Source organism: Homo sapiens, chromosome X (genome assembly GCF_000001405.40).
Source record: "Homo sapiens chromosome X, GRCh38.p14 Primary Assembly".
Lineage (NCBI taxonomy): Eukaryota > Metazoa > Chordata > Mammalia > Primates > Hominidae > Homo > Homo sapiens.
Genome location: NC_000023.11, coordinates 7,053,007 through 7,071,797, shown reverse-complemented (window position 1 = coordinate 7,071,797; position 18,791 = coordinate 7,053,007). Strand labels below are relative to the sequence as shown.

General features: G+C 45.0%; 1 protein-coding gene across 6 annotated transcripts in view, besides 3 other annotated features; it reads left to right on the top strand.

The window, feature by feature from the left end:
* The window catches only part of PUDP (pseudouridine 5'-phosphatase), a 442,316-nt gene that overhangs the window by 76,356 nt on the left and 347,169 nt on the right, over positions 1-18,791 (top strand). Inside the window, exon 4 of one of the 6 annotated variants that reach the window (NM_001178135.2) lies at positions 13,975-14,212. The exons of the other annotated variants lie outside the window; for them this stretch is intronic. Within the exon in view, the coding sequence (NP_001171606.1) occupies positions 13,975-14,091 (117 nt within the window). The 3' untranslated portion in view covers positions 14,092-14,212. Of the gene's footprint in view, positions 1-13,974; positions 14,213-18,791 lie in introns of those variants that run through there. 6 annotated transcript variants of the gene reach the window in all.
* Positions 2,427-2,927: an enhancer, noted in NCBI's record as "H3K4me1 hESC enhancer chrX:6986912-6987412 (GRCh37/hg19 assembly coordinates)". NCBI's record gives its function as "activates a minimal SCP1, AML or CMV promoter by ChIP-STARR-seq in naive H9 embryonic stem cells {active_cell/tissue: H9 hESC(naive)}" and the evidence as "EXISTENCE:reporter gene assay evidence [ECO:0000049][PMID:30033119]".
* Positions 12,474-12,623: an enhancer, noted in NCBI's record as "active region_29382". NCBI's record gives its function as "activates an Ori minimal core promoter by ATAC-STARR-seq in GM12878 lymphoblastoid cells {active_cell/tissue: GM12878}" and the evidence as "EXISTENCE:reporter gene assay evidence [ECO:0000049][PMID:35858748]".
* Positions 13,428-13,928: an enhancer, noted in NCBI's record as "H3K4me1 hESC enhancer chrX:6975911-6976411 (GRCh37/hg19 assembly coordinates)". NCBI's record gives its function as "activates a minimal SCP1, AML or CMV promoter by ChIP-STARR-seq in primed H9 embryonic stem cells {active_cell/tissue: H9 hESC(primed)}" and the evidence as "EXISTENCE:reporter gene assay evidence [ECO:0000049][PMID:30033119]".

Genomic DNA, 18,791 nt, shown 5'->3' with positions numbered 1-18,791 from the left:
CTCAAAGGAAAAAAAAAAAATAGAGAGTACATTCTGGGTGGTGACTTAGGGATACAGGTGTTCTGTGAAATTCTTTCAACTCTGCTGTACGCTGGACCATCTCTACAGTGCAATGTTGGGGGAGGCAGCTCTGCCTAGTGTGACAGTCAGACCAAAAGTTCACTCAGGCACAAATTAGAGCATCATAGGGGAACTGGGGATGGCACAGGGCCTGAGATAAATGCTCAGCGTTTTTACAGAGAAGAACAGAGGGTGGGATTAGTGCTGAACAGAACAAGTCCAACAGGAGTGCAGCCAACACAGAATCAATCGTGAGGACTTTGGAAACCAAGCAGAAAAGTTTACACATGGTACAATAGGCATTTGAGCTCACTGGAAATTCTTAGAAGGACACATTGGCCATGTCTGTGTTTTAGAGCTCAGTGGAGTACTGGGTGACAGATTAGAAATAGGCAGTAAGGGAGGAGGAAGTGCCAGGTGTGATTCCAATGTGATTTCCTTCAGGGAACTTATAGTTCAATTAGAAAAAAATAAGTAATGTCAAAAGTTATAGGAGGCTTAGGAGAAAGTGAAATTAAGAAAACTGTCGCTGGGCATATATTCATATCAACTTGTACCAAATTTGAAGAACTTTTTGCATCTCTGTGACTCTTTCCTAGATTTAAAAAAACTGAAAAAAAGATGTAGCTAGTTAAAAATACATGTATTTTTCTAATACCTGTAACTGCATGTGACATTTACACAAAGTTTCATCTTAACTTATCCTTATCGTACATTGCATATGTCCCAAAAGAATGCAGACAGGAGCAGGCAGGCTGTCAGTGTGAGCTGACCTCTGTAACTGGAACTTCTTTTCCTCCGAGAATAATAGAGAACAAATAGCTGTATACTACTTATGTCCAATTTAAAGTTAATATTTGGGCCAGGCGTGATGGCTCACGCCTGTAATCCCAGCACTTTGGGAGGCCAAGGTGGGTGGATTACTTGAGGTCAGGAGTTTGAGACCTGCCTGGCCAACATGGTGAAACCTCATCTCTACTAAAAATACAAAAATCAGCTAAGTATGGTGGTGCACACCTGTAATCCCAGCTACTCGGGAGGCTGAGGCAGGAGAATCGCCTGAACCCGGGAGGCAGAGGTGCAGTGAGCCGAGATTGTGCCATTGCACTCCAGCCTGGGTGACAGAGCAAGACTCCTTCTCCAAAAAAAAAAAAAGTTAATATTTGGTGACCAGCTGAGCTTTGCTGGACCTCTGGTTTTGGGGAGATTAGATGTTCTTGAATCAGCTTCTTACCCTGCAACACTGAGTTACGGGCACAGCCACACTGGAGCTGCTCCAGAGGGTGAGGACCGTCACCTGCCATTGTTTGCCACCCTCTGTGGGCCTCAGGACCCCACAGCCTGGGTCCTCATTGCTCCAGCCTCAAGGCCACCTCCTCCTGTCACCCATCATCGCTGAACAAAATAGGCATGCCTCTGCTCACTTGTCCTTGGTATTATTTCATTTCCCTTTCTCCCTTCTTTCGTTATTTAAAAAACCGTAATAACAAGGACCTTCACGGTTACTGTCCTTACACTTCTTTTCTTTCATTGAACTTGCCTTTGGGCTTGGTGTCCCTTCTGAATTTCCTGGCACGAGGGCACTTGCTTAAACCAAATTTCACTGTCAGAGGAAATGTGTTTCCTCTACCCTCTTAGGTGCAGTGATTGGGGGCCTGTAAATCAGACTAACAAAAGACAGACTATCAAGAGTAAAGATAGATTTGTATTTACATACAACGAAGGAGTTCACAGAAAAATGTGACTCAAGGAGGCAGTTAGAATTTCGGATTTGTATGTCATCTTAACATGGATGGGAGAGAGGCAGAAGGACACACAGAAGAATAAACTTTTAGGAAAACTTTTAGGAAAACTAAGTGGGCCGTTAGGAGACTAGATGGTGGATAAGATAGTTTTATAACAACATCTTTTGGGGCGATTTCTCATCTAGGTGTGACAGGTGCTGACTTCTTATCTTTGGTGATAAGACTCACACTTCCCTGGTTGTGAAACTCCTGAGCATTGGATGTATGAGGGCTGAGGGCTGAATTCTTCTGGAAGGCTTTCCTTAGAAAGGGAAGGGAGTGCAGAAGCCTTCTGTTCCTGTACTTGATGCTTACTGTCTTCAGCTCTAATAACCCTCATGCCACTGTGGCATGTTCCTCAGTCCATGGAGGCCCCATCTGCTTCTCCCCAACACCCCATCATTACTCCCCTGCCCCCTTCTCTGAATGCCCAGCACCCAGCACTAATAAGAGGCCCTCTGCCTGCCGAGCGCACGTGGCATCCTTGTTTCTAAACAACCCTGAGGTGCCCGGCCCCTGGTTCTCAGGTCCTGCCTTTATCCAGCCCGAGTAGCCTTACGTCCGTGTCCAGAACACTAGCCTTGGGGCATCTTGCTCTCCCAGATGACCTCGGTGTCCCTCAGTCTTGTTCCCACATTAGCTGCCAGGTGCCACAATCCCTGTTTCTGACTGCATCCTCGCCTCCTCACCTCGCCTCGGGGGGCATTTCATCCTGGCATCTGCCGCTCCTGACTGCTGAAACCACAGACATCCGTTTCCCACGCTCCTCTGCAACGTCTCCCTCTGCTGGCTGCACCATGCCCATCCGCCCTCATCCACTGCTCCCACTGTTTCTCTCTGCACTTCCTCTCACCCAGGAACTCGGTTCAGCAATCCCCAAATGTCAGCATCTGTGTGTGTGCAGGTGTTGTTTTGGTGTTCATCTCACTCTGTCCCATCCCCCTGGGTGATCTTATCTGCTACTTGTTGTCACTGTGCCTGACTCAAATCTTGGTTTCTGGACATGGGTAGAGTCCTGGGCCCAGTGGTCTGGAAAGGGGCCTTGGGAAAATCTTATGTAAAAGTTCAGCCAGGCCACACTTACTAGGAGTCTCAATAGAGGTTCTCCTACCTTAAATCTACTCTTGGGGACCCTGCTGCTTGTCTGAGCCCCAGGCTCATGAATCTGCACTGCCTGGAAGTCATGAGCACCTCTGAAAACACGGCCAACACTCCATTTTCCCACATTTTCCTTCAGCCTGCTCCTGTCCCTCCAGGCACCCTGGAGTCCCTCAGCCAACCTTGAAGCTTCTCATTGCACGAGGATTCTCTCTCCTCACATGCCGTCTGCAGCCAGCAACCTCCTTTATCCATCCACTTCTTAGGCCCTCTCTTCTGAAAACCTCCCTTGTCCTCATTTGTACGTTTCTTCCCTTCCTGAATTGAGGCTGTAGGTAGCAGCTGCTATGTTGACTTCAAGGTCTCATTCCCAGCCTGAGAACACAGACTCCTCCCCTGTCCCCACACCCAAATCAGAGGCTATCAATGCACGATATACGGAAGCAGAAGCCAATAGACACAGAATCCAGTCACTGATTCTGTAGGTAAAGAAACAGATTCACACCAAGGGACTCAATTCCCCTCTGTAAGCTTTTATTGAACCTTTCGTGTACGTGCCATTTTATCAGATTGCAAGATGCCAGGAATACCGAGTGATTTAGGAGCACACACTGTCATTTAGTTTTAATAATAGCCAATGTCATTTCTTATTAGAATTTAGTAGTTATTTCTTGCTCTTTGATTTTCAGTTCTTATAAACTTTGGCAAAGAAACCCTACATTCCCAGCTATAGTGTGGCCTTCTATATTAGTCTGTTTTCACGCTTCTAATAAAGACATACCCAAAACTGGGTAATTTATACAGGAAAGAGGTTTAACGGACTCACAGTTCCACATGACTGGGGAGGCCTCACAATCATGGCGGAAGGCAAGGAGCAGCAAGTCATGTCTTACATGGATGGCAGTGGGCAAAAAGAGAGCTTATGCAGGGAATCTCTCCCTTACAAAACCATCACATCTCATGAGACTTACTCACTATCACGAGAACAGCATGAGAAAGACCTACCCCCCTGATTCAATTACCTTCCACCGAGTCCCTCCCATAACATGTGGGAATTGTGGGAGCTACAATTCAAGATGAGATTTGGGTAGGGACACAGCCAAACCATATCACCTTCTTTTTCTTTTCCCGTGGTGTTCCCCACAAATAGAGAAGGCATTCCTCTTCTGTACTGTTATTTCACAAACCCTGACTGACACTTAGTCTCGTGATCCTTGTCTCCATCTCCTGCCACTACAGCTGCAGTGATGTCAATGGGGAGGCTGTCTTTTTCACCTTCAGGCTCTCCCTCTCCCCTTGGGTACATCATCAGCTTTGATAGGAGGTGGAGCTGTGCTTTGGCCAGGTCACAGCTCAGTAAGTGTTCTGGCTTCTTGGCAGACCCACAGCCACCTGCGTTCCTCCAGACTGGTTTCCAGGGCTTACAGTCAGCGGCAGAATCTGTCCTCCTTTGATGGAGAGCTGCTCGTCATTCTTGGGGAACTTGGGGCACTGCAGTGTTGATTTCTAGTTCACAGCCCTGCAGAGACCTCGACACAGGTTGCATGCACACGGGCCCCTGTACTGTTCTGCAGAATTACGCCAGAGCTGAGCCATTCCTGGGGCATGAGGGTCTCTGGGAAAACACAAATTAGAGGCATGAGGCCCTTCTGCACTCTGTCAAATGCAGAGAAGTGAAGAAATAATTTCACTAAATGCTAGAGAAAAACAGCAAATCTCAGAACAGAATGAAGTTCTGTCCTCTCATAATTACTCTTCATATGTCTTGCCTTCAGATATCTTCTTTATGCTTGGCTGGAGAAATTCCAGGATGGCACTGTGCCCTGTGCTTTGTGTGGAGAAAATATGATGGATGAATCCCTGGTCCACTATTTCCCTTTTAAAGGCAGATACTTGTATGACAATGGAAAATGTAACAAAACTTCATTTAATCAGCACTGTGTGTGTGTGCGCATGCATGTGCGCACACGTGTGTGTGTTTATGTGTGTGTGATTGATATGTGTTATGGAAAAAGCTCATGTCTCTGGAAATACTTTCCAGCAAAAAACATCTAATAGCTTAATCTTTATAGCAGTGCTGGTTTTGGCCCTTTAACTTCCCCGAAGTTGTAAACCAAAAAATTGCAGTCTCCATATATGTTTTATTGCATCCTCTAAAACAGGAGTCCCCAATCCCCTGGCCATGGACCAGTACTCCATGGCCCGTTAGGAAGCAGGGCGCACAGCAGGAAGTGAGCGGCGAGTGAGCCAGCATTACCACCTGAGCTCCGCCTCCTGTCTGATCAGAGGCCACATTAGATTCTCACAGGAGCCTGAACCCTAGTGTGAACTGTACATGCAGGGGATCTGAGTTGTGTGCTCCGTATGAGAATCTAATGCCTGATGATCTGAGGTGGAACAGTTTCATCCCAAAACCAGCCCCTTTCACCCCCCACCTATCTAGGAAAAATTGTCCTCTACGAAACCGGTTCCTGGTGCCAAAATGCTGGGGACCACTGCTCTAAAACATGTATTTTTTTATTTCTGGACTGTCACTCAAATGCCTCAAAAAAATCCATGCCTCGTAGTTCCTTGAAACACTTTTTAAAAGAACTAGTAGCCACTATTAGTACAAATGCCACTACCCTACTCGGGGCATTTCATTAGGTTGGCTGGTGACCAGCTGTGCATTTTTTGTAATGATACTGTGTTCACTGAGTCTTTTTGATAGCAAGGTTTCAGACAACTAGCCAGTAAAAATACAATCTAGTCACTATTCCCCCATACACTAGTGCATCAAGTTCGTTGGTCCTGCATTACCAGTTATCTTTTACAATTGTGTCAATTTTCAAAATATCTTTTAGCTTTTAACTAGTAATTATTACTAATAATTATTGGATGTTTTGGGCTAAAACCTTGCTAAATGTTTAGCATCTCATTTAATGTAGTACCACAGATTATTGGCAAATTTGGGCATTGTTTCTCTTCACTGCGATTGGAGGAGAATGGTGTATTGAATACAGAGAACACGTGACCCATAAGTAGCACTAGTGCTGTTTGTATGTATGGCTCCCCACCTTGCATTGCATAACATTGCTGTAGTTGAGGAATCCGCTTTTTAAAAGTGTTTGGCCTGGGCTAATTTGCAATAAAGCCCGTGAACTCTCCCACCCCTGGACATGTTGTACCTTCCTTGTACCTTCCTCACCCGATCTGGCCTCCACAATGCTTGTGTACACATTCTCGGACTTGCCCTCACCCAAACTAGAATAGGGAGAATAACCAGTGAATTCAGCCTCGTTATGTTTGGGGATTTATGCGAGGATCAAGGTGGCATTTCAGATTGTTGTGAAACAGATGGATCAGTCAGGAAATAATACCGGGGTAGATGTCTTGCCAGTGGAGAGGGGGACATAAACCCCAAGGCTCTGGCTTACTTCCAACACTAAGGTGAATCCTACTCCAATCAAATATTAACATGTAAAACTCGAACCAAGTCTCCTTCTGGTGATAGGACCTAAGCAAGCTGCGCTAACTCTCCCCTTAAGAACAGTGAGAAAAACTGGACAAAAACTCGAAAGCATCTTTTTGAAGGGATCTGATTACCCAGCAGGTAGGGAACGGTGGGACCCTTTACCCCTAGAGCTGTCCCCAGAAGAAGTGGCTAATGAGAATGAGAAGCCCGAGTTTGTTTTTTGTTTTTTGTTTTTTCTTTTTTTGGTTTGGGGGCAGGGGGGCTGAGGTGGGAGAATCACTTGAACCCAGGAGGAGGAGGTTGCAGTGAGCTGAGATCACGTCTCTTATATAGAACCTAGTTTGAAAAGGAAGGGATATTTTAAGTCTTTTAAGATAATGTTAACTATTTTTCTTTCTTTAGCTCTATTTCTGTGTGTAGCTGTTTTACTACACCAGAATTCAGCAAGTGATAGTTTCTTAAGAGTTAGTTGCTATGTGGAAATTGAAGCCCTATCAGTAACCTTTTCCTCCTCGTGTATCTTCAAATCTATTACCGAGCCTTAAACTTTGAATGGATCTTGTATCCCTAGCTTATTCAAGGGTTAAGAAAATACGTTTTCTGTAGAAAAGAAGACATGTTCTGTGGCTCATCCAGAGTATTATTTGAGCTGCATGTCTATAGTTTAATCACATACTGTTGGAGGTCTTCCTGGGAGATGCTGGAGGCCCAGGAGTCAAGGGGCTCTGTGTGCCGTTCTCCAAACACAGCTCTCTAGAAAGAAGGTTCCAGCATGACTCAGGAGAGGTTGGTGCAAACTGGGACCCTCTGGGCACCTCTCAGGGACACAGACTGTCCAGCTGGTTACGGAAGCACATCTCCCACCTGATTTATTCCTAAATAGGAGCGAGGAGGGGGACAATCTTTCCCTTCACCCCCACATCTTCCTTTCCTCTTCCCTACCTCCCTGTATTAATACTGAGAAACCACACCTGAACAATGAAATGACTAGGAACTACGGTTTCTGGTTGTGTTCCCAAGTGGGAATATGGGCTGTTCACGACCTCGGAATGTAGAATGCCCTCATTATTTATTCAGTAGACATCCAATAAATGCGGATCAACAGCTTGCCTATCTTTGATAGTTTTTGGCAGTGTGTGCTGGTTTTAATCTTTGTACTTGTCCCATAAGTGACCCCATGACTAGAGAGTGGGCTCTTCCATCTTGTAAGAGCCTTCTGTTCACGTTCTGTTCTTTTTATGAGAAGGAAGTTCCAGTGCATATCCCAACATAAAGAGAAACGTTGAATACGTACTGTTTTTCTCTTATATATATGCTCAAAATAACGACTGTAGTAAACAGTCGTCATGATTATAGGATGAATTACGCAGCCATTCATAGATTTTTGTAGTTGTCATTTACAAGTGGACTATGCAATAGTTCATAGGCTTATGAATACATAATCTAACAATATTAGCTGGGTGCAGTGGCTCACACCTGAAATCCCAGCACTTAGCGAGGCCAAGGTAGCTTGATTGCTAGAGCCCAGGAGTTCAAGACTAGCCCGGGCAAAGGGCAAAACCCCATCTCTACAAAAACTACAAAAAGAAATTAGCCGGGCATGGTGGTGCTTCCCGGTAGTCCCAGCTACTTGGGAGGCAAAGGTGGGAAGGTCACCTGAGCCTGGGGGTGTCAAGGCTGCAGTGAGCTGTGATTGCACCACTGCACCCGAGCCTGGGCGACAGAGTGAGACCCTGTCTCAAAAACAAACAAACAATATTATACTTGTAGTATTTAAAAAACATAATTATCTGGTATTCCCATAGCTAATAGAATGAAAGGGGAGACTTTATCTCCCTAGACAGGAAGCACGGTACCTCCTACACTCTCTTCTCCCCACATCAACTGGATAGGTGTGTGAACGCATTTCAAAGTCAAGTATGGTTAGTAATTACTTGATCTTTTTCCAGCCCCTTCAGATAAGCTGAATTGAACACCCAAAAGTGATAGTAACATCATTTTCCTTTGCAATTACAAAGACCATTAACCCAACAGAATCTCCATGCTTTACCTGTTTGTGATGTTTTTGTTCCATTTTATTAAGTATGACTCCTGATAAATGAATCACTACACAATTAATTTTTTCTCATTCTTTAGATTCATACACACAGACACATATATCAAGCAAACTATAAATTGCTAAAATGACAGGCCAGCAGTGACTACTTGTTATCACGTGTGTAACATCTCTTGAGGGCTGCTTTGTAATTCATTTGTATGGTGTTGTTGTACCAGTGTAACTGCTAAGTGGTTTCTCTGGTTCCATGTGCATTTGTACATGAAGTTGTGCAATCTCCACATACCAGCAGTTTCAAAGAATGACAGTTTGCATGAGGCCATCTTAATAGCAGGTAGCATGTAACCAACCCATCTGAATTAAGCCACCATTGCAGAATAAAACATTTGACACTAAGCCAGGTATTTCAGTGGATGAGTTGTATTTTGGATTTCCAAAAAAAAAAAAAAAAAAAAAAATTAAGCAGTCATGCTCTCGAATAATCTTACTAGACATAAACAATACTGCTAGGGTAGGGGGGCACTGCCTTTAACAATGGTCAGAGTTTCTTGGTAAATCAGTGGTTTTGCTTCTTTGATGTTTCTAAAACACTGATATGCCCAGTTGCCCTGCTCTGACCTCATCTCACCCTCCCCAGCTTCCCTCCCCACCCACCTCGTAAAGCACAGACCTCTCAGCCTGACCCCTTGCTCCCTACCTCACTCATTACTTCTGGTTTCCTTTTGGGGCCTTGTCTTCTGCCTGCCCCCAGTACAATGTTTATTTTTCTGCATGTCCATCTCATCCTGACAAGCCTCTCCACACTGGAGTGCAGCCAGTAGCTGTCTCTGCTAAGCTCTTCCCTCTGCCTGCATTTCTCACCCCACACACACCTTCCATTTCCCAGTGGCTACATACATCATGTGCGATTATGCCTGTCTTTCATGACCTGCCTCTGACCAGAAATCCCTGAGTCATCTTCCCTAAACCCACTCCTTCAAATCCACCTTCCAAATCCTGGTGAATGGACTGCTGTCCCTGCTCCAGAGGACTGTGTGCCTCAAACAGGGCTCCCCACAGTGGGCCTGTATTAGCAGGGATTCCCCAGTGCATGTTTCCTGCCTTGGAGACCATGAACTCCAGGGAGGCTGGAGAGCTGTCTGCTCTGCTTTCTGTCTTCTGCCTGCCCAAGACAGTACTTTATGTAGGTGTTAATTTCCTAAAAATATGTCTAACATGCTTGAATTGCTGATAGCTATTGATTAAAGCCCAGCTTCTAATATAAATATGCATTTCTGATGAATCTCACAAAAAAACAGGAAGAAACAAATGCCATTAATTTGCAGTTTATCAATATCCTGGCTAGTAATTGAGATATTTAGTGGCATAGTCACTAGAATATAAGGTGCTAGTCCCAGTCCCAACACGAGCTTGAGTAATTTTAAACTTCATAGTGAATTTTTTGTAACGTCTACAGAATGGATCACCATTATCATAATAATAGCTGATAGCGACGGAGCATGTCCCATCTGCCAAGCACTGGATATCATTGATTCATTCATTTATAAAATTTGAAGTTGGTGGGAGGGCATATTTAAAGACTGCTACCTGGAATAGTGTTATTTGTCAGAGATTCATTTGTTTGTTCTCCACATTCTTCAATATATGAATTATTCCATGCAATTGAACAGCTCCCCAAGTACGTCATAGTTATGAAATGTTGTGTGTTGACTTTGGAAGGTTACAGTTCATTTGTGATCTTCCAGGCAGCGGGGGTGGGGGTGGGGGGATTCTTCTCTGTAGTGAAAGTGTTTTTCTCTGAAATCTTCAGCTACTTTCCTACTCTGTGAAGCCTTCTTCTCCTGGGTCAGTGGGACCCTTCCTTGAGAGTGGTTTCAGTAGGTTCTCCAAAAACTGTTCAACTGAGTAAAATTGAATAGAATAGTCCATGCATTTTGTCCCAAGGTATAAAAATTGGCTTTGGGGAGGTGAAAATGAAACCTTACTTTTTTTTAATGTATCAAGCACCAATACACATACAGAAAAATATAGTGTATCTGTGTTATTATAACATGTTATGGGGATAGACTGTTGGGGAAAAATAACTGGAAAAGCTTTTTTGGGGGTGATCATGAATGAAATGGTTGAGAAACACTGAGTTAGTCATACACAGTATCAGACAAGTACTGTGTCAGTAGCCCCAGTAATTTCCACCCTCAGGCCAGGCCCCACATCCAGCACATTCTCGCTCTTCTCTAGCCCCCACAGCCAGGTCAGTCTTCTAGCCCAGGCTCCATCAGCATCTCAGGTTAGAGAAAGGAAGGCAAGATGCCTTCCACCTCTGTTTTCCAGGATTGAGAATATGCTCACGCCCCTCTCTATCTAAAGGAAAGGAGAGAGGGATGGACCAGGCCCTGTGTTGCCCTCACAGGTGCCCTGGGCGCCATTTTGTCATGAGTGGTCAGCAGAGCCCATTGCCGAGGGGCCTAGGGAGGGTGCCCTCACAGAGCTGGTCCCTTCAGTTCTGAATTAAGCAGTAGCCTCAATGCCATGTAAGCAACCATTCCTGCAAGAGGATAGGCATTTAAGGTGAAATCTGCCTCATCTGTCGTTATTTACAGGTAAGATTCAGAATAGTTCAAGAAAACAAGGCAAATGAATTGCATTTGCATTGACGTGAGTCATGCCACATTCAGCTACTCTTTGTGAAAACGTCCCCAAAATAGATTCCTCGGAGTGCTGCTTTGCGGGACCTTCATCGATTTGCTCTGAAGATAGGTGTCCATGCCTGAGAGGCCTCAGTGAGGTTTCAACTACACAGTTATCCATGGCAGCACTTCTGGAAACATTTCTGTGCTAATTGTACATGGCAGGTCCCCAGTTCCTCATTTAATGGGAGGAATCTCCTTTTTCTGGAAAATTTCTCTGGACTGCTGTGTCACAGAACATTCTAGAAACCCCTTACCTCATGAACATTCTACTACTAGACAATTTAGAATTGAACGTTAATATGGGCATGGGAGGCCAGTGAAAACAACATAAGCCTCACCTGGTACTGCAACACATCTTTGTTTGGGAAACACTGACTTTGCAACCACAGCTATAAACACCGGCTTTTATTTCAGGAGTCAGCAGTTACTATATTTGCAGGAAGGAGAACTGAGGGCATCCCTGTGAAAACCAGAAAATAAATCCATCCTGAAGGGCATTGGCTTTGTAGGCCTCTCATCCCCTGTTGAGTAGGTTGCTGGGCCATGCACAACGGGTGTCAGTATGGAAAGGACCAAGGAGAGGACCGAAGAGAGGCCTCTGCATTGCCAGCTGCCACGTGCTCACCACACAGACAGCTCATTGGCTCATCCACCAGCTCATTTAATCACGAAGTCTTTTAATCCCCTCCAGGTCCAATGAATTCCTTAGGCTTTTTTCTCTGTGTTTATCAGTTCCCATTATAAATGGCAGCTTCTTCTACATGGCACATTTGGAGATGACATGGAAAAATCACTCACACAGGCCAGCAAAGGCACTCTCTTTATGCTGTGATAATCCTGTTTGGGGAAGCCCCCTCTGTAGCTTCTCTCAAAAGCAGGCAAACATCGCTGTGCTTTTGCTGTCCTGACAATGTGTGGAGTCATATTATACAGCAAGCATACCACAAGCAAGTCACATCTAAGGCACCTAAATGTGGTTTTTCCATAACGAAAGTGCTGTTGAAAATAAACACAACTTGCTGCTCTACAGGTTAGAGCATTTTAATCCCGTACATGGCTAATCTTCCCGAGTCTGTCTGAAGTCATAATGTCCCTCTAAACACACAAAACCGATAGGGGCCTCCCGTCACACTTGCGGATCATGAGTCTCATGCAGAAGGCTACGTAAGATGAATTGATTTCACATGTTTTACTCAGAGGATGTGGAAAAAGAAAATGATTCTAGTGACCATCTAGAAACTTGCGGTTTGTTTTTGACTTTAAGACAGTCAGCACCTTTCAGGGCCTTGCTGGGTTTTCACTGGTTTCTGACAGATTGGTGGACGCGGCATCTGTACCATTAAAAGAGGAAATCAGGAAGGTTTTTTGAGCTGTCTTGAAGTCTTTTGCTCACCACTTAATTTACATACATACACTTTAATATGCATGCTAAGAGTGCCCGTAATGTACTTTTATTGAGTAAAATGACACAGAGAGAATTCGTTAGGAAGCTTTCCTGCCCACCCCCCAACCAAGTCGTTAAATAACTTTTTCAAAGGCTGTTCTCTATAGGAGAAGGAATCAATTTAGGGGTGTAGTTCATTCATTTACCTAGCTTGTAACTCTAAAGGGTTTTGTTATAAACATGTTTATATCAATAATGGTTTTATAGTTTGATTTTCAGAGCACTATCGATTCAGTAAAACAGTAGCTCTGCGGTGCACAAGGGATACTGACCTCCACCTCAGCACTATTACTTAGAGGAATGCAGCACCATATGTAGCTTACTAGTAGGTAGGTGGATGTTTGGATGAAGGAAGGGAGAGCAGGAGGAAGGGAGGGATGGATAGATTGATAAATAGGGATGGATGGACAGATGGATGGATTGATGAATAATATAAACAAAAGTACTAATTAATAACAAAATACACACATACCTCAGCAGTCATTTTGACAGCAGTACTTAAAAGTTTCATGTTTAAACAAACATCTAATAGTGTATATGTATCCAACATGACAACATTGTGGTACTTATTTACAGATCACTGTCTGACAAGGAACATGAAGTCAAACAGAACTTAAACCTTAGATATGAGCACTGCCAATCAAAATTAAAAACAAAGTTTAAGGCCCCCTTGAAGTTTTGATGTCTCACCATGTGAAAATTGAACTTCATATTACAAAATTAATGCATAGGAAAAAACCTCCTATGAAAAAGCCTGGTTTTGGTGATGAGATTCAGATCATACATGGCTTTATAATTGATGAATAGTTGTGAGCAGCTGCTGTACTTTCTGTGCTTCCATGTAATTCCAGGACCGCTTCTGGGAGCCCTGAAAGTACCCTTCAGTGACTTCCTTCCAAATGTTGTATTTCACTAAGCAAAAGGGAAAGCTTTATTCCTTAGAGATGATATAGTAATATTTGGAAAGCTCACTAGTTCCAATGAAGCACATAATTTAAAACAGACACATCATAGTTTAAAAGGTAAAATCGGTTACGAAATGTGATCCCAAGTAGGCACGGGCAGCACTCTGCCTGTGGCCTGGAGGAGGTCCCGGTGTGCAGGATTGGAAAGGGGCTGGCTCCTTCCCTGCTGTGACTGTTCTGTCTGCTTCCCGATGGGACGTGCTGTTGATCCCAGCTGCTGAGAAGAAATGGTGGGCAAGTGCCACGGGGACAGGATTTGCAGCAGGGAGGAGCCAAAGGTGGAAGCATCACCGGGAAGTGAGACCTGGGGAGGAACACGAGAGCATCACAAGCCGCGGGCCCTTCTCCTTCCCTCTTGAAAACCTAACCTAGCTCCTGACACTGCCTCCTACTGTGTTCCCTTCCTGCCCAAACTGTACCTAGAGCTCCATCCATAGACCTCGTCTGCTCACCGCACAGAAATGCCAGGGCTGCCGGGATCCCTTCTCAGCGCTCCTCCTTCTGTGTAATCAACTGCTTCTCTGCTCTGATGACACCTGACCGCACCTCCAGCTCACAGCCACAGTGCATGGAGACCCCGAGCCTTCTACTTGGGTGTCCCACGATGGCCTCAAACCCAACTTGTCACAAAAGCTACCTCTCCTTCCTGCCACCAAAATGGCGGCCCCAAGACCCACCACATCAGAAACATGAGAATCAGCTTCTCCATCAGGCTTAACATCCCAGGTATCATCCAGTTCCCTATTGCTTCTCAGTTTTTCCTCTAATCCCATCCATTTTTATTCATTGCTCTTGTGTTTGGACTGTTTCCCTCCCCCAATTCAGATGCTGAAATCCTCACCCCCAGTGTAATGCGTTAGGGGGAGACCAGGGAGCCAGAGACCACGCTGGCTCCCTGATCTCACACCGCCTGGCCCCAGACCTATGGGAAATCCCTGTCTGGGGTTTAAGCCACCCAGTCTGTGGTATTTTCTTACAGTAACCTGAAGGGACTAAGACACCCTGCTGCTGTCAGACAAAGATACTCTTATGTGCAACTTGCTAGTTATAAAATGGAACTTTTAAGCTATATGATATTTGTCTTTTAAGAAATTAAAGTACAAGGACTTTTTAAGTCCCCTGGACAGAGACCATCCCCAGGTCGCTGCTGCGCTTCAACATCGTTGGAGAAGTCAGTTCATCACCTCCAAGTGATAAGCCGCCAAGGTGCTTCACCTCCCTTGTCGTTGGAAATGTCATGCTCCCTAAATTAAATCCCTCAAGCTACAGTTTAATTAAGCTCATCTCCTCGCCTGGAGATGGAAATCAGATATATTTTAGCCTTCAGCTGGGTAGAGTGAAAAGAACATTGGATTCTGCAGACCTGGATTCTATTCAAGAGTTCTGTCTTCCGCCTGACTGCATGACCTCCAGCTTGCCTCTGAACTTCCCTTGCACTAAGCAGAGGAGATGCTGCATTTGCTCTGTCTATTCCCTAGCGCTGACTTTCCATGGCCCCTTTGTGGCTCTAAGTCCTGTACCCAGGACACCTCCACCATCTTCACTAATTTAGCAGACGTTCATCAGTGCTCACGATTTGCCATGGCATCCTGGGAAGGTGCGTGAAAACTGGGCCCTGCCTAGTTACAGCCGATATGTAGGCTGTACAAGCTGCGTCAAGAATATTCTTGACCAGATACTTCCTTGAAGATGTGGAAGTCAGCCTTAGAAGGTCCACTAAATACACTACAAAATGATCACAAAATTAATTAAAATCATATAGAATATGCATGCATACACACACATCCATGTGCATGTCCTGACACAGAGATGATATGTGGGGTGAAGGAGGGAGATTTCAGGGTAGGCCGCAGGCCTGCCGGGAGCATGTGCAGGTGGCAGCGCCATCCCCTGGACCAAACCCCAGTTCTCCGGCTTCACTGAAGGTGCAGGAGCCCTGCTAGAAAAGAGAAGGGAGCCGTGGGCACTTCCACCTTCCCTGTCCCTGGCCACCACCCTCAAAGGAGCAACCCACCAAGTCCGTGCAGAGAAAAGTCAGTCTGCCTCCACTCCCCACTTGCAGAGGCTGAAGTCCCTTGGCTTAGAGAGAAAAGTTTCTTTCTACAGATGCAAACATACGAATCCATGATTCACTGTATGGGTGGTGGTATGAATGAGTTTTAGGTCAAGTGTAATTGGTCAGTCATGGTGGGACAGGAAGGGCTGCCCCCTAAGTGAAAACATGAGGTGCTTAAAAGGAAGCATGAGAGCCAGGTGCTTAAAAGGAAGCATGAGAGCCAGGTGCTTAAAAGGAAGCATGAGAGCCAAGTTCAGTCAGGGTGAACCTCCTTTCCCTGTAGCTGGGTGTGGCAGACGGAAACTGTGTTGAGATATTTCTGCCTTCGAAGATAAGAAACATACTTCTTCCTTAATTTTATTTGTGCAAAATATAAACTGTATTTAGCTTATATTCTTCTTTCTTTTTTTGATGCTTAAGTCCTGTGATTACCAGACACAGTTGTTCCAAGATAGCTTTTAAGGATTTATTCTTAAATCCTTAAGTTTCAGTAGACAGACAGCCATGCTGTGAACATTCTTTAAATGGTTAGGCTTTTAGATACCAGGTACTTTTCTTGTAGGTGTGGTCCTATTTACAAGTGCATTAGATCTTTGGGTGTAACGAAGTCTAAAGACGACATAAAAATCTTTTGGGGCTGGGCACGGTGGGTCACGCCTGTAATCCCAGCACTCTGAGAGGCCGAGATGGGTGGATCAGTTGAGGTCAAGAGTTCAAGACCAGCCTGGCCAACATGGCGAAACCCCATCTCTATTAAAAATACAAAAAAAAATTAGCCGAGTGTGGTGGTGCATGCCTGTAATCCCAGCTACTCGAGAGGCTGAGGCAGGAGAATTGCTTGAACCCGGGAGGTGGAGGTTGCAGTGAGCTAAGATCTTGCCATTGCACTCCAGCCTGGGTGACAGAGCCAGATTATGTCTCAAAAAACAACAAAAAAAAAAGAAAATAAATAAACCTTTTGGGACATTTTTAATAGGTGCTTCAGGACACAGTAGTTGTTCTGCTTTATAATTCTACTGTTTCTAGGGGAAAAAAACCAAACCAACAAAACCCAAACTTCCAGATGCTGTGGCATGACCCCGAATCATTTCCCACGTGCAGGCTGTGTGTGTGGTGCAGTTGCCATCTGGGCCTAGCACCAGGGGGTTTCTTCTCAGGACTCATGTTTGATGTCTTCTCTTTGTCCTGTGTCTGGGGCTTTCTTTAAATTTTGTGTGCAAACAATGCCTGGTATTACAGGCTGTTTTCCTGTAAACCACTCACTTCTGCTCCACTCCTGTTCTGTTGAGTTTTCCTGGCACGTTTCCATCATCGACCACCTCCAGCTGACTATTCTATCAGCTTTTGAAACTTCAGGTTCCGTTTTCAAATTCCATCTTGATCAAATGGAATTCTCGTTAGCGGACATGAAGTGTAAGAGTCCGGCAAATGTCGGGGAAAGGTATCTCCTGACAGCTGTTAGCAAAGCGGCCACATGAGAGGAGGAAGAAGAGGGTTTCAGGTGCCAGGGGTGTCATGTATCCCATTGCTGTTTGTTTTGGGCTGAGATCACCCATGGCTGTTTACATCAGAGGCTGTACTTACTTTTGACCTTTTAGAATAGTTAACTTTGCAAGGGTCTTGTGCTGGAAAACCCAAGCCAACTGGCCTGTCTTCCTAGGTTTCCCCTCAATCATTTGAACACTGAGGGTTTTACTTACTCACATGGACATATTTCAAATGGCCCTTCTGTTGCATAAGCTTATTATGTCACCTTCTCTCTTTTTTTCTTTTTTTTTTTTGAGACGGAGTCTCACTCTGTGGCCCAGTCTGGAATGCAGTGGCACGATCTTGACTCACTGCAACCTCTACCTCCTGGGTTCAAGCCATTCTCCTGCCTTAGCTTCCAGAGTAGCTGGGAATACAGGCATGCGCCACCATGCTTGGCTAATTTTTTAATTTTTTGGTAGCGATGTGATTTTACCATGTTGGCCAGGCTGGTCTGGAACTCCTGACCTCAAGTGATCCGCGTACCTCGGCCTCCCAAAATACAGGTGTGAGCCACTGCGCCCAGCCTACGTCACCTTCTTATTGTGATTGATTGTGATAGCAACCAGTTACCAACCTTGACTTTTCGCCACTCTTCATGCTTATTCGAGTCCCCCTTACTTTATGTACGACATTTGTCTTACATGTTGTGTGTAGTATTCCAGATGTCAGTGCCATTTTGGATTATTCTTAAAAATAGGTGAGGACAGATTAATTGAACACAGAGGAACCAGCAAAACGTGAAAGCCATGAGAAACAGTAAAAAGGTCTCCAAGAGCTGGTGTCAGCTGCTCCTGCTGTCAGTGCCGCAGACACTTGCAAGTTTCCCTCCTCACTCACAGCCCTCACTTAGTTGCCTTTAAACAGGGGCTGCCTTTGAAAAGATTTCTCAGGTGTGAAGGGACACCATGGGGCCTGCATTTCCCTCCACTGCAGACCCCCTGTATTAGTCCATTTTCACACTGCTGATAAAGACATACCCAAGACTGGGTAAATTACAAAGAAAAAGAGGTTTAATGGACTCACAGTTCCACATGAATGAGGAGGCCTCACAATCATGGCAGAAGGTGAAAGGTATGTCTTGCATGGCAGCAGGCAAGAGAGAGAATAAGAGCCAAGCGAAAGGGGTTTCCCCTTATAAAACCATCAGATCTTGTGAGACTTATTCACTACCATGAGAATAGTATGGGGAAAACTGCCCCCATGATTCAATTGTCTCCCACCAGGTCCCTCCCACAACACGTGGGGATTCTGGGAGCTACATTTCAAGATGAGATTTGAGTAGGGACACAGCAAAACTGTATGACCCCCTTTAGGTGAGTGCAGGTGTATTGGGTGCCTTCCATTATCTCTTTGGGAACAGCCACAGTCAGCTACTGATTTCCCGTCCCACACACCTGTCTTGCTCCTTGGAAGCAGCCTCACGCAAATAGAGAATAAAAGCTGCTTTCACAACTTAGCCAAGCAGTGTTACCCCAGGGGATAATCCATCTCTTCCTCTACCCCAGTCCACATTTCACAGGTGGACCCTGCACAAAGCTTCAGAATCCCCGGAGAAGGTGACGGATATTTTGAAATGTCATTTGACATTTAAGTGCCTATCTCTGGTCCCAGATAAAAACAGTGGAGGGCATTTAGAATACAATCAAGTCATAAC